The sequence below is a fragment of the Homo sapiens genome, chromosome 14 (assembly GCF_000001405.40).
Source record: "Homo sapiens chromosome 14, GRCh38.p14 Primary Assembly".
NCBI classification, from domain to species: Eukaryota; Metazoa; Chordata; class Mammalia; order Primates; family Hominidae; genus Homo; species Homo sapiens.
This window is the reverse complement of record NC_000014.9, coordinates 53,764,858-53,781,432: the sequence shown is the minus strand read 5'-3', so window position 1 is coordinate 53,781,432 and position 16,575 is coordinate 53,764,858. Positions and strand designations below refer to the sequence as shown.

The 16,575-nt window shown below is 36.0% G+C and overlaps 1 long non-coding RNA gene across 10 annotated transcripts in view; it reads left to right on the top strand.

The window, feature by feature from the left end:
- LINC02331 (long intergenic non-protein coding RNA 2331) overlaps window positions 1-16,575 on the top strand; it is a 165,830-nt gene that overhangs the window by 69,394 nt on the left and 79,861 nt on the right. For 9 of the 10 annotated variants that reach the window (NR_184221.1, NR_184218.1, NR_184212.1 and 6 more), the window contains one exon: window positions 12,470-12,632. This is a non-coding gene — a long non-coding RNA (long intergenic non-protein coding RNA 2331). The remainder of the gene's footprint in view (window positions 1-12,469; window positions 12,633-16,575) is intronic. The other variant, NR_184214.1, reaches the window with a different exon arrangement.

Below are 16,575 nucleotides of genomic sequence, written 5' to 3'. Positions count from 1 at the left end.
TGTTCTAGGAGGTAGTAAATTTTTTGTCATTGGAGATTGTTAAAGGAATTCTATGAAATGAAATGACGGATTTTTTAAGGTTAAGAGTCCCTTTCAACTTTAAGATAATTATGTCTATAACCTCTTCTATGGAGGCCTTGAATTATAATTTAAATTCTATATTTCTATTTAATTTTACTTGTACTTATTTTTATAATCCCCCTCATGAAACTGGTCAATGATGATGTAATTTCATTGCAACAACCCTATAATATGAAGTTTTGTATACTTCTCAAAAAATATACCAAATATTTTCAGAAGCAGAACTGAAATTATTGTTGTCACTTGTTTTCTTTGTTTTTATTATTTTAACGTGTGGCAGAGTGCATTTTCTAAAGATAGCCACATAATATGTGTTGGATTTGTGTTCCTGCCCAAATCTCAAGTAGAATTGTAATCCCCAGTGTTGGAGAAGGGGCACGGAGGGAGGTGATTGGATCAAGGGGGTGAATTTCCCCCTTGCTCTTCTCCTTACAGTAAGTGACTTCTCATGAGATCTGGTTGTTTAAAAGTGTGTAGTACCTCCCCCTTTGCTCTCTTCCTCCTTCTCTGGCCATGTAAGACATGATTCCTTCCTCTTTGACTTCCACCATGATTGTGACTTTCCTGAGGCCTCCCCAGCCATGTTCCTGTACAGCCTCCGGAACTGTGAATCAATTAAAACTTCTTTTTTCTTTATAAATTACCTAGTCTCGAGTACTTTATAGCAATGTGAGAACAAGCTAATACACTAGAATAATATTTTTTATGCCACACATTTTTTCTTGAAGCTTCCTCTTCTTCCATCAAGGAGTAAAACCTGTAATTTCTCTCCTTGGAATTTGGAACTGGGTGGGGTTTTTTGACTCCTCCGACCAATAAAATATGGTGGAAGTGAAGCTGTATAAATTCCAAATGTTGAATACTGTCATCTTGTTCTTTCAGAACTCATGTGCTTGGAATCTAGCGACCACGCTGTGGCGATGCACAAACTAGCCCACGTGGAGAAAAACCCGCAGACAGATTGTGTCTACTTTTATAGCTAGCAGCCCTGGTGAGGTACCATATGACAGCAGGCATTAGCTGCCAGACATGTGAATGAAGACGCCCCAGAGTGATTCCAGCCCCAAGCTGTTGTTGTTACCCTCATTCTTTGAGCCTTTCCAACTCTGTCCCCAGGCTTTGTAGAGCATAGACAAACCATTACTTCTGGGCCCTGCCCAAATTTCTGACTGACAGCATCTATCAGCATCATATAATGATTGTTTTACATTGCTAAATTTTGGGATGGTTTGTTATGCAGCAATAGAAAATGAAACAGCATGCTATTGCTGTTTCACAAAAATCACTTCAGAAACTTGTATTTAAGCCATGAGTCTAGAGATGGCAGTGGGCGACTGTGAATGGCTTTCAAGGTGATGAAATAACAGCTGAGTTTCCATTTACATCTCATGCATACTTATTCCATCATCTTCCCTGTAATAAAATTATGGGGATGTACTGTAAGAAATAATTGCTGCCTCAAGGAGTTTAAATTTGCTTTCTCCTTCAGCAGGTTGCAGCAAATAAAAATCTCCACACGCAAACATCAGTTAAAAGTCGTTGTTATCTGCAAAGTAAATGATTAAGGCTTTCTTTTGCTCAAGGGGCTTTTAAAACTAAGTATTGGCTATTTCATTTTGTTTGAATAGCTTGTGAAAATAATGGCAAGACAGTTTTAAACTCTCTTGATATCACAGAGTTAGTCTTTGGCTGAAGAGAATCGATCAAATTTGCCCATTCTCCTTCTGCTGACCACTTGTAATTCTGTCACATTATACTGTACTATAATTACTTTTTTGAGGACACAAATAAAGGGTGAGAACACAACATCATACACTTGGGATTCCTTCATAAATCACTCATGGCTTTCACCATGTTTGTTTCATTGTCAGTGATAATTACATGATCCTTTTCTCAACTGATTGTTTCATTCTATAAATATTTCTTCAATCAGATTCACTAAGTGAGCTGTGTGACACCCAGAAATCTCTTGGCAGTCACGTAAAGCAGAAGCAGAGATGAATTTGTTATCAGTCCCTGGGTCTGTCAAACTTGAAAAAGATCTCTGGTTCTGTCTGCACGTCCTAAAGCTGATGTACGAAAATATACAGAAGTGTCATGTTCAATAATATTACTAACCTTTTTGTGCACAAAAGAAATAGAATACAGAAAAAACTTTTCCCCCAATAACTTGTTTTCTAGAAATAACTTTGTTTCTTAGAATACATAAGTTGGGCAAATCTCCATATTCAGTTACTTTCAACTGTTAAAATTGGTTAGTATTTAACTAAAAGTACTTTTACTTTAAAATGTAGCACCCATGACGTTAAAAAAAAAAAACGAATTATGTTCTTAAAGCATTCTCTCTTTTTTAAGTTTGACCAGAGGAAAAACGCATGATTTGGTTAACATTTTTGACTAACACTGTCTTCTTTTCTTCATATTTTCTATACTGTTCATTAGATCTGAGATCAATGTTGTACTTTGGAGTTTATCATCCTCATGAATTTTGGAACATTTTTATTTTGAAATAATTATAGAGTCACAAGAAATTGCAAAGAGAGTACAGAGAAGTCCCAAGTACTCATCAGCCAGTTTCTGCCAATGGTCTCATCGAACATATAGTACAATATCAAAACCATTTAGTATTGATAGTTTATGTGTTGTTCCATGATATTTTATTACATGTATAGATTTGTGTAAGCACCACAATTAAGATACAGAACTATTCCACCATGACAAAATTCTCATCACACTCACTTTTCTTTCTTTCCTCTACCATCCCTAGCCCTGGCCATCAATAACTTTTTGCCATCACTAAAATTCTGTCATTTTGAGAGTGTTATGTAAATACAATAATACTGTATGTAACCTGTTGAGGGCTTATTTTACTCAGCACAACCTCAAGATCTAGCTAAGTCATTGCATGTATCAATAGTCTGTTCCTTTTCATTCTGAGTAGTGTTCTGTGGTATGAATATACTACAGTTTGTTTAACCATTCACCTATTGAGGAAAATTTTTACTATTACAAATAAATATGCTATTACCAGTCATATATAGATTTTTGGGCAGATATAAGCTTTTATTTTTCTAAGTAAATGCCCAGGAGTACAATTTCTGGGCTGTATGATAACTATATATTTATTTTAAACAGAAACTTTCAAACTATTTTCCACCAGAAATGTATGAGAGATCCATTTTCTCTGCATACCCATCAGCATTTAGAATTGGCATTATTTTTTATTTTAGCTGTTCTAAGAGATGAATAGGGCTATCCCATTGTGGTCTTAATTTGCACTTCCATGAACAGTGATGAACATCTTTTCATGTGTGCATTTGTCATTCATCTATACTCTTTAGTTAAATGACTTTTTATGTCTTATGTCCATTTTCTAATTGGATGTTTTATATTGAATTGGGGAGTTCTTTATATACTTTAGATTCTAGTCTTTTGTCAGATAGGTTGTTTACTAATATTTTCTCCCAGTCCATAGCTTGTCTTCCTTCCTCTTAACAGAGTCTTACCAAAATATTTTAATTCTGATGAAGTCCAGTTTACCAATTTTTTCTTTAATGGATCATGCTTTTGGTGTTATGTCTAAGAACTCTTCATCAAGCCCTAGGTCCAGAAGATTTTCTCCTATATTATCTTTGAAAAGTTTTATTTAAAAATGTTTTATATTTAATTTATGATCCATTTCAAGTTATTAATAATTTCCAAGTAATATATGAGATTTAGGTTAATATTTATTTATTTATTTTTGCCTATGGATATCCAACTGCTCCAGCACCGTTTGTTGAAAAGATTATCCAGTGAATTGCTTTTGCAATTTCATCAAAAATCAGTTGGCCATACTTTATAAGTCTCTTTCTGGGTTATTTTATTCCATTGACCTACATGTCTGTCTCTCTTCCAATACCACAGTGTTGACTACTACAGCTATGTAAGATTACTGTAGCTATATAAGTCTTGAAATAAGGTAGTGATTCTTCCCGCTTTATTCTCCTTTTTCAAAATTGTTTTAGTTGTTTGGTTTCTTTGCCTTTTAATATAAATTTTTATAATAGTCCTGTTTATACCTACACTTTTTTGCTGAAATTTTCATAGAAATTATGTTTAATCCATATTTGAATTTGGGGAGAATTGATATCTTTACTGTACTGAGTTTTCCAATTCATGAACATGGACTATTTCTTCAATTATGTTAGTCTTTTTATTTCTTCCATCAACATTTTACAGTTTTCAACATGTAAGTTCAAAACCTGTTTTGTCGGATTTACTCCTAAGGGTCTCTTTATTTTGAGTTACTGTAAATGGTATTATATTTTTAATTTTATTAGCTATGTTTTCATTGCTAATATACAGAAACACAACCAATTTTTGTTTATTTATTTTATATCTTGCATCCTTACTGAACTCAGTTATTACTCCCAGGAATATATATTTTTTAAAGATTCCTTTCAATTTTCTATGTAGACAATCATGTCTTCTTTAAGTAGAGACACTCTTATTTCTTCCTTTGATTTCTGTGTACCTTTTATTTCCTTTTGTTGCCTGACTGCACTGGATAGAACTTTCATCACTGTGCTGAATAAAAATGATGAAATGATCCTTCTTTTGTTCTCAATCTCGAGGAGAAAGCATTCAGTCTTGCACCAGTAAGTACAACATAGGCTGTAGGTTTTTTTGTAGGTGCTCCTTATCAAGTTGAGGAATCTCTCTCTATTGCTATTTTTCTGAAATGTTTAAAATCATGAGTGGGTGTTAGATTTTGCTAAATTTTTTTTTGTGTGTAGATTGATATTATCAAATGATTTTTCTTCTTTAGCCAATTAATATAGTAGATTACATTGATTAATTTTCAAGTAGTGAACCAGCTTACATTTCTGGATAAGCCCCATTGGTCATATATAATTATTTCCATATGTTTCTCAGTTCTATTTGCTAATACTTTATTAAGAATTTTGGCATCCATATTCATGAGGGATGTTTACCTGTAGATCGTGTGTGTGTGTGTGTGTGTGTAGCATCTTTCGTTTTGATATCAAGGTAATGCAGGGATCACTGAAGGAGTTCAGAAGAGTCAGCCTCCTCTGTTTTCTGGAAGAGATTGTGGTAGAATTAGTGTTAATTTTCATTTAAACTTTTGGTAGAATTATCCATGGAAGTCATCTGGACTTAGAGATTTCTGGGAGTTTTAAAATTATGAATTCAATTTTCTTAATAGCTATTGGTCTATTAAAATTATCTATTTCCTATTGGCAAATTGTGACGTTTCATACTTGTCTAGGAATTAGTCTATTTCATCTAAGTTGTCTAATTTGGGTCTAAAGTGATAACCATTGTTTTACTTCTGACATTTGCAATATGTATCTTCTCTTTTTTCTTTGTCAATCTTACTGGTGGGACTTTTATTACCTTTTAAACGAATCACTTCTTTGATTCATTGATTTTTGCTGTTTTTTTCCAAATTCATTGATTTTTGTTACCTCTCAAATTACTTCCTCCTTCCTAAACTCTGATGTCTCTTTAACTTCTGGCTTCTTATTTTTTGCTCTCTATTTTCCCCTCCTCTTCTAATTTCTTTCTCACCTCATTTGCTTTTTGGGGTGATTGAATATCTTTTTCTTTATGAATATGGAGATGTTATATTTTAATTCCTTTATGAGTTACCCTGAAGCTTTTAACTTTCATTTTTAACTTATAAATACAATTTTGTTAATATATTTATTATCCTTCTTAATAATAAAAGAATCTTGTAATACTTTTTCTCTGATGATGGCTCTCCCAACATAAGTGCTATTGAATTAATATATTTTAATGCTATCTTCTTCATAACCCTACATGATATTATTATTATTCTTTATCGTCTCAGTGTTTGTTTCAATTGACACATGTTTTTAGTACTCTGCTATTTATTCCTTCTTACATCTAAGGCCTTCCATCTAGGAGTATTCTCATTCTGCTGGGGATATATCTTTAGAATTTTCTCTAGTTCAGGGATGTTGGTAACAAAGTTCTCTTAGTTTTATTGTCTAAAAATTCTTTTATCCTCATTTTGAAACATAATTTCACTGCATATAAAATTCTATGTTAAGTTATTTTTTCAGTACTTTAAATATATTCTACTTTTGCGGCTTCCATTATTGTCAGCTCTCAGTCTATTGACTATTTCTTTGAAGAAACTCTGCTTTTCCCTGGCTACTTTTAAGACATTCTTTGTGACATATCTACCATTAATGTACATGCTCCTAACAATGTAGTCTTAAAATATACAAGCAACAATTGACAGAACTACAGAGTGAAATCAATCAGAAATTTTACCTGGTCTTAATACATACTTCTCAGGAAATAATAAATTAAAACATATGAAAAACAAACAGAAATTTTTAAGACCCCCCAAAATACAATGGGTAAATGTAAGCTACTGGATGCATGTGGAATTCAACTCCAGCAAATAGAGACTACTACTTGTTTTCAAGCATACATGCAGCATTTACAAAAGTATACTTTGTACTAAACCACCAAAAAGCCTCAATTAATCCACATCATGCAGACCACATTCTCTAAATATGCTGCAATTAGAAATTAATAACAAAACACTAAATTAAAAATCCCCTTACGTTTTAAAACTAAATAACAGAAAATTGAATAACTCTTGGGAATAAGGGTTGCAGTCCTATTTTTCACTTGCAGTTTATTTTTTTCTCATAAGAGTCCTCATCCCTACCTAATGTAGTCAAGGGGGAAAGGGCAAAATCTTAAATAGCAAGATTGTGTTGTCGTTTGGCATGAGGCTGTCTAAGCAGCAGATAGTTAAAATTAGGATGACGATTTTTTCCGGTTGCATGGGGGCAGTGGTTTTTTATATTTACTGTCCGATAATAATTATTATAGCACCCATTTTCAATCTTGAAAATGTTCTAGTGTGTCATGGTAGTTAAGGCTGACTCCTTCTCCCCTTTTGCAGTTGTTAGGAGACTTCCATCATTAAGGACTGTATGTAGTTCTACTGGGGAGGTTTGCTTATACCACTTCTAGAAATCCAATGTCTACCTTCAGCTTCTTGGTGCTCAGTTCCTCTGTACCTCTAGAATAGGGGTGTCCAATCTTTTGGCTTCCCTGGGGCACATTGGAAGAAGAATTGTCTTGGACCACACGTAAAATACACTACACTAATGATAGCTGATGAGCTAAAAAATTTGCAAAAATATCTCATAGTGCTTTAAGGAAGTTTACGAATTTGTGTTGGGCCTCATTCAAAGCCTTCCTGGGCCACATGTGGCCCATGGGTTGGACAAGGTTGCTCAGAAGCTTTTATTTTACAGGACCCAAGACAACCCTTTCCTGGCTTGCTCCCAGATGTGGCCCACCTCTGGTCCACGCTTTTCCCCAACAAATTCTGGGAGTACAGACTAACTCTAATGCAGCCATTTCCATCCCGATGCATCAGGGCATCTTAACATTCTCAGGGCATGTTAGTTATTCTGTGCTCCCCCAAAAATAAGGAATATATTTACATCTCTCTAAGTGATCTCATGGAAGTCAATCCTCACATGGCTGGAGGTGAAGGAGGTAGCATATCCTAACTACCCTCCTTTTGGGTAAGGGACACTTGAAGCTCAGCAACAACTGTAGAAAGAATTATCTACTTGAAAACTCTCTTCACTATCTGACCCCTTTATATTTTCGATGTGAGTAAGGGGCCCTTTGGCTAGTGACTTAGAATTATGAAGCTAATATTTGACCATTTCATTTCTAAAGTCAGAAATTATGGAGGTCTCTCTTACATTCACTCTGAATCTGTCCTATTGATACCTCAATAAAAACTGATGCATAGTGGCTGTCATTTTAGTGGCTTATTACATATAATATATTTTTCATGGAGAAAAGGATACTCTTAACAAAATCAGATCTTATACATACTTCTTTGTGATTTTCCTAGTATAGTTAATAATATTTCCCAAACAAATATTATACAAATCAATATATATACTTCTTTACAGTTTCACTCTTCTCAAATGTAAGTTTGGGTAACCCAATGAATTCAAAAGAAATACAAACTTTATCCCTCTCCTTAGCAAGAACGCTTCTGACAGCTCATGAGACCATGTGGGAGAACTACATGTAGGTCAGTGTCTGTGGCATATTTCACACAGAGAATGCCTCGAAAACCAGCATCACATTTCCATTCCTGAGATGGTGGTGGTGGTGGTGGTGGTTGTTATTTTTCTTAGCACCCAGAGGAGTCAGCTGTTATGCTCTGATTCCCCCAGCTGTGGGCTTAGTGCTCTGCTGAAATATTCAGGAGTGGAACAGAGGAGAGGTTTTGGGAAAGAATGCGGGCAGTAAGAATTACCAAGCCACAGTACGTAGCTTTGTCGCTCTTAGAAGATTATTTGATATTTTTATTTCAGAATAAAACCACACCTGTTTCTATTAGGAAAACTGAGACTTAGTGAACAGAACCTTGACCGGATAAACCACCCAGTGGAAATTTTTATTATTTTCTTGCTGAATTGTTCTCCCTCATCACCACCATCCACGGTGTGGACACTGAGTTTTAAAAGAATGCATATTAGGTTTCATATTCTAAAACCAAGTTAGAGAGATGTGCTTTGGAAATTTCAAAACAAAGATTTAAAATGGTGCCAAATCAACCATGGACAAGAAATGTATTTAGTTACATTTAGTTACATGAGATCATCTTGCCCACCCCTCCCTATCTTGCACACACCCCAAATATCACTTACAGTTCACTTCCTCATTCTGTCATATTTCCTAGCAACCACTGGCTCCAAAACCGTGTGGAAAAGCTGCCCGCCATAATGAAAAGCCCAATTAAAAATTATTTTATTTGCTCATTTTACAGTACCATTTATGTATGCCACTCAGAAATGACTTATAGAGTTCCCCACCCCCACCACCACTTAGGCTCATTAGATTTAGAAATAAAAGCTTGTATATTCTGACGTTTCTTGTTAACTTTCCATCTTCCCAATTCCCCTCATGAGACTTTCGTCTAACATCCTGAGTTCCTTGCTGAAACCAGATTTACCCCACATTCAGAGACTCTCTGAAGGCCTTTCTATCAAGCTAGCATTGCTTATGTCACCGATGTGTATGAGCTGGTGAATTATGCAGTTACGAATCAACTCAGTGTTTTCACCAATAGCTAACGTGACTTATCTCCAGTCATCCTCCCATGTGCTGGCTCTATGGAAGGGATCAGGACAGGCTGTGATGTGGAGGGCCCAGGGCCAGATTCCTCCCTGGACAACACCTGCACAGGCAGCAGGGCATCCTTGACCATCCGAGAAGAGGCTCATCCGAGTTAACTTTCCTACTAGTGGCTTTCACTATAGTCAGTCCTTAGCTTAAAATTTACTTCTGGACATCAGTCGGAAGTATCTTCTGGTCTTATATTGCCATGAGCTGTGTTTAGTTCAGATTCCTCAGAGAGCATTTTTGTTTTGCTTTGTTTTTTTGTTTTTGTTTTTTTTTTAATGTACTAGAAAATAATTTAGTTTGATCTTCACCTAAGGTGAGCCAGGAACTTAGCATATGGAAAATACTGAATGCTGGGGTTGGTGCAAAAGTAGTTGTCATTTTTACCATCAATTTTGTACCAATCTAATAGCACATTTGCTTTTAACATAGGCTTATGTGTTTGCTATACTCTCTAATGATAATTTTATAAATCATTGGCTTTGTCTCTTTAAAAAACAAGGAAGCTTTGGTTGGTGACCAGTTACCTGTTTTGATACAAGAATCCAGTGCTTTTAAAAAAGTTAATTCCTTGTAACACTAGTTTCTCATGATACTCATAGGCATTATATTGAAAACTGATTCTATGGACACATAAGTTTGAAAAATACTTTTTAAAATAAAGTTAAATAAGTTTTAAAAAATGTCTTAGCTGCTAATACAGATTGGATTGTGGTAATTGGTATATGTGTGGGGATGCTGGGAAAAAATATGTAGAGTTCTCCATTTCCTTTAACTTTCCCCCCCAAAGAGCTTCTAGGGTATTAGTACACCACAAATCACACTTTGGAAAGCACTTTCTTGTAATATGCTCAGGGTAACCCAAAATATGAGAATAAATATTCTGAGATGAGAATTACTACACTTTAATGATATTAAATTAGGGCATTTGTGAAAGTCCTTGGAGTTAACTTGTTGATATTGTATATTCTTTTTCTAAGAATTCAAATTTCGAGATCCTTTTATTATCTTTTTCCCCTCTGTACGTTTGTGTGTGCATTTTAAGTGTTCCTTTTAGCCCATTTATGCCTAGTGTTCCATTTTTGGAACACTAAGCTTGTGGGAGTTATGTATCTCCTACTGCTCAGGGTCATCGCCAAGGTCTGATTTTTCACACAAAAGATTTCCAACCTCCAGCATAAATGGATTAAAACACAGAGCAGGTTAACAGTTTCGTCTCCCAGAGACAGGCTGTGTGTTTCTTTAAATGAAATGCAATCCACTCCCAATCTCTCAGTAGCCCTTAAGAGGGAGTGGGTGTCAATATTACCTGTGATTTAGCCCTTATGCTCTGAAATTCTGATTCAGTAGGCCACGGGCAGGGCCTGTCCGTAGGTATATTATAAAACACTCATAGATGTTGTTTATGTAAGCTCTCATCTGTCCAGACATTTGACAAATTAGTAAGTTTAATTAACTGGGTACTGTTAACCTACTGAAAGGTGTCACTTAGACTTTTTTGACATAGCAAGTACATCTATATGAAAATGCAAAACAAGGGCATTTAGAAATAGTCATGTCCCTTGAGATACTTTTTTGGGGGATACATTTTCCCTATCTGAATGTTACTTTTTCCCCTCAATGTTTCTCTGCCCCTTTCTGGGTCAGCCTGCCTTTACTTATTTCCCTGATTGAGTGAGTGTGTGTGTATGTGTGTGTGTGTGACGTGTGTGTGTGTGTGTGTGTGTGTGTATGTGCATGCGCCTTTGTCTCTGTGTGACTTTGACTCCTAAAACCGCCTGCATGTGGTGTCTCCATCAGCTCAGCTAGGCTCCTTTCAGCTTCCTGCAGTTTACACAGGTGTCTGGCTCCTTGGACCAGTGTGGTCTGTTTCCCCCAGTCCTCGCAGGCGCCTCTGGCATGCATCGCCTCCTCCAGCCCATGCATTTTGTGTCTGTCTTCCCTCTATCCCACAGGACAGGAATGCCAAAGGCTGGGCCAGACAGATTATTTGGAGTCCTGATAATGGGTGTACCCATGGGGAGAAACCTAGAAGAGTCCATGGCACTTTCCACTATAGGGGCAGGCAGAGGGTTTGTGTTGTTTTAAAACGGTTTCTTGTCATCCAACCCTATCTCCCCTTCTCCATCTCTCCCTGACTCTTTTTATGCTTGCCTCATTTCCAAATTTCTTCTTCATCTTGTTGTATTTTTCCTCCCCTTTTAAAAAATCTGTTCCTCTCTTCTTTTTCATTCAAGTGTTTTTCCTCTATGTTAGAGAATTTCAAACCATTTAACTGTAAATGCATAGCTGAGGCAGACCTGAAGATACTACATTTACATTGGGATGATTTCTCCGTTATTCTCCAAAAAGAGTATAGATCCAGCCAGATTTGTAGTAGTCTTTCCCATCTCAAATGCAATGTTTTTATACAAGTAATATAAATCTCAGCATGGCTCTTTTCAATAATTTATTCCAAACAAGGCAAAAACATGGATTGACTTCTGGTGCATTGGATTTCACACTAGGAAATTGAATATCCAGTAAGGAGAGAAAAAACCTTCCCAGATACTTCCAGACAAAGTTACTGAAATTTTAAAAGAATATTTTTGGGGATTGCTATATAAATAAGATGATCTGACTCACAGGGAGACTCTGGTGGTATTGGCTGTATTTGCATTGCACATGCACACTGTCACAGACAAATCTGGCAAAACTGAAATTTCAGCTATGCAGGACCACCCCTCACTGCATCCCCTACCACCATTATCTCTGCACTTCACTATTCTCCAAAGCTCAGTTTAGATGTACCCTCTTTCTCAAAGTCTTTGGCGACCTCCACTCCCATCCCTCAACTCTCATTGCACCTATGTTTACCTCTCTTGCAGCAAGAATCACTTGTATTTCATCATCATACACATAGGTAACTTATTTCTTCAACCAAACCACTTATAAGACCCTTCTGGGGCAAAATCCACACCAGTTGCATCATCCTTTCCTCCCAAAACATCTCATAGATTATGTTTTACCTCACGGGCACCCTATGGTCTCCTGGTGAACGAGCTTGGGTGAATTTAATGAACAAGCCCTGAGTGGCTTTGGAATCCTTGCAAAGTTCTTGGTTTAGAAACAACTGAGATTTTCAGATCTAAGAAAAGATAAATATAAAAAATTGAAAGCAAAATGTCATTTCTTGAAGGCTAAAAGCTTCATAGAAACCTAAAGGAGTTAGAGAAGGAAGATCTCTCAATGGAAATGCTAAGAAGAGACACAAGGAAAGACACATCACTAAGGAGAGACCCAAGGAAAATGGCTCTATGACTACAGTCCATTTAAAGAATGAGGGCGTTCCTTCTACCAAGGTAAGTTCTCTTCTTTCTCTCTTTTCTTCAGACTATTTTTTCTCCCCCGAATTTTGGCATATGTGATTTTAGTGGCCAATAACCTGGGTTAAATAACAGCATTTTAGATTTTTTTTCCAGGAACAATCTTCACCCTTGGGGGGCATTTAGTTGTCAAAACCATACTTTTGTGAAATTTCAACTCTTAGTTAAATATCTTCAAGGTTGCAAACTGTTGCTACTTGCCAGTTCTAAAATTTAATGTTCCACTTTCCTCACTTCACTTTTCTTTGCTTAGGATTTCAGATGAAGCCTTCCTTTGTGTGCGCTCCTGTCTGGAGGGCAGCTCAAAGTGACTTCCTAATTCTGTCAGGATACTGGCAAGTGTTCTGTTAGGACAACAGGACCTCAAAGACTTCTCTGCCTCATAGAATTTCGATGGGTGCAGCACATGCTTTAGAGTATTGCAGAAAGCATATCCTTAGCAACTACAGATCATATTTTTGTTGAAACACTTACCTCTTTTACAGACTGAAACAGGATTGAGGGTGTCTCCCAGCTATTTGCCTATGCTCCAAGGGCTTCACCTGCATAACTTTACAGTTCCGATGAATCACTTCAAGACTAAACTGTCCAACTTCAACTAATGTTTCCAATGTGTGAACTTCTAGAAAGAACTTTAAAGCTAAATGTTTCAAAAGCTTTTCCATGACTACTTATCTGAGAGCAGTTGTATCCAGGCAGAGAGCTTTGAAAGAACAATGTCTCAGGACAAACCATGAGAAGCTGAATAGGTTAGAATAGGTCACACACTCCGTTTTACCATCTGAGGCCCCTCCAGATGGACAGGGGTGAGAGTCTGGTTGGCCTACGGCTGAGGACAGTGATTCTCAGCACTCACCATAGACATACTGAATCAGGATATCTGGGAATGGGGCTCAGCAATATGTTTTGACAACCTCTCCAGCACATTCAAATTGGAGAACCACTAGAGAAGATAAGAGCATTTGCTATCACAGATTTTGAAGTGTGTGCACAGCTGTGCAGAGACCATTTTAATGAACTGTGAGAGCCCAACCAGTAGTGTGGTTTTACCCTAAGATTTACCACTTGGTGGGGATTGGGAAAATTAGGAATTCACATTCCAACCACACAGCAGTGGAAAATACCTCTCTATGCTCATAACGGAATGAGAATTAAACTTTAAGAAAATGACTTTGATCCTGAGGACCTCCTGAAAGAGTTTTGGGGATTCCCAGGCTTCCTTGGACCACACTTTGAGAATCACTGTTCTATACAAGGTGCTATTTGTATCCAGTTGTATTTGCCAGCTGTTTAAGCAGATCATTTAGACAATTATTTCCAGTGTCATTTCTAATCATTTCATGTACTGTCATGTGCTACATAACAACGTTTCAGTCAACAATGAACCACATGGTATGATGGTGATCCCATATGATTATAATGGAGCTGAAAAATACCTGTTGCCTAGTGACATTGTAGTTGTCCTAACATGGTAGTATAATGCATTACCTATGTGTTTGTGGTGATGCTGGTGTAAACAAACGTGTGCCTCCAGTTGTATAAAAGTATCGCACATACAGTTACGCATAGTACACAATACTTGATAATGATAATAAATGACTATGATACTGGCTTATGTATTTACTCTGATATATCTTTTATCATTATTTTAGAATGCACTCCTTCTACTTATAAAAAGAAAGTTAACTGTAAAACAGCCTCAGGCAGGTCCTTCAGGAGGAATTCCAGAAGGCGTTATTATCACAGGAGATGACAGCTCCATGTGTGTTATTGCCCTTGAAGGCCTTCCAGTGGGACAAGATGTGGAAGTGGAAGACAGTGATATTGATGATCCTGACCCTGTGTAGGCCTAGGCTAATGTGTGTGTTTGTATCTTGATTTTTAACAAAAGGTTTCAAATGTAAAACAAAAAAAACTAAAAATAGAATACAGCTTATAGAATATTATAAACAAATAAAACATTTTGGACAGCTGTATAATGTGTTTGTGTTTTAAGCCATGTGTTATTACAAAAGGGTCAAAAAGTTTACAAAAATTAGAAAGTTTATAAAGTAAAAGAGTTATATTAAGGAAGGTTAATTATTATTGAATAAATAAAACTTTTTTATAAATTTAGTGTAGTCTAAGTGTACAGTATTTATAAAGTCTACAGCAATATACAATAATGTCCTAGGCCTTAGCATTCACTCATCACTCACTCACTAAATGACTGCAACTTCCAGTTCTGCAAGCTCCATTCCTGGTAAGTGCCTTATGTAGATTGCCATTTTTTTGTCTTTCATATTGTATTTCTACTGTACCTTTTCTATGTTTAGATGTGTTTAGATACACAAATACCATTGTGTTACAATTGCTACAGTATTCAGTACAATAACATGCTATACATGTTTGTATCTAGGAGCAATAGGCTATACCGTATGGCCTAGGTGTGTAATAGGCAACACTAAATTTGTGTAAGTACACTCTGATGTTTACACAATGATGAAATCCCCTAACAACTCATTTCTTAGAATGTGTCCCAGTTAAGTGATGCATGACTGTATATTTGTTTCCTCTTATTTTAGATTATAAATTCCTCTTAGTGTATATATGTTCTTTGCAGTGTCTAATTTAGGGATGAACTGTGGTACCAAAGTGCAGAAATGATAACAATAATAACGGGCTGATTGATATTTCTTAAATAACATTTCTTTGTAAAAAGGAGCAGAAGGAGCTTTGGGTCATTTTCTGGTTATTCTACATGAGACATTAACCCAAAAGGTTTATGATTAGAAATGTTTAACAAAAAATTATTTTTTGTTCGAAAAACAAAATTTAAAAACCTTACATTTTTATGCTATATTTGTTCAGATTTTAAAACAATTATTCATAGAATAGGTTGGATTTGACCTAATAATATTTTTCAGCTTAGCATTCAATGCTTGTATTCTTTGTACCAGAATACCTGGGTTTGAATTCCAACTCCACTGCTAATTGGTGGTGTGAACTTGGATGGATTGTTACACTTGTTATGTTTGGTTTCTTTTTTTATAAAATATGGAAAATAATACTACTTACCTCTCTGATTGGATTCTTGTGGTTGGAATGAGGTTGTGTTTTTAAGGTATTTACTGCAGTCCCTGCATATAACAGATGCTCAGTCAACATTTTTGGGACAAATATTTATTGAACAAACTCTAAGTAAATATCATTCATTTCATTAATTATTCCTTTTAAACATGCTTAATGTTGACTGCATTCCAAAAGTCACTTTTGGAAGATCAGTTCTATGTCTTCTTTCTGTTTAAGCATCTGCTATTATATTTGCTTCAGTTACTTTTATATGGTACCTTTCTAAGTGTTTCACATCTGGGCCTTGGAATGTGTGTATGATGTGTTTTTCAGGTAAAAACATTAATTATCAGAGAAATGTGTTCAACCACCCTATGTTCCCTGCACTTATATTCTGAGCCCCCAAATTAAGTAAACATATTGTGATATTATTACAGCTTCCTCTGAGTTATTGCTTTCTTACATTAATAATAATCTTTCGGGGATTTTGACCCAGGCTTTTCACAAAGCACCCATTTTGGAGATGTTTTAGGTACTAAGTTCACCTTAAAATTTTTCCAGTCTGTGTCTTCACTTTAAAAATGAAAATTAGCTAACAGATGTCATGAGACCTTTCCCTCTTCTACAACTGTTCTCACTCTCTCCACACCTGACATTAGGCGCATGTGCCTGAGAATGACCCTTGGTTTCTTCTATGACTCATTGTTAATCATTATAGGGAATAGCTCCATCAGTTCATAAATTTGAAGTAAACTCAATTTCCCACACAGTCTATTAAATGATCATCAGCAAGCTGTTCAGGTTGATTCATAAACTCTTAAACTCCCATTATTTGAAGGAGATTTTGGCTATATTGACAAACAAATTT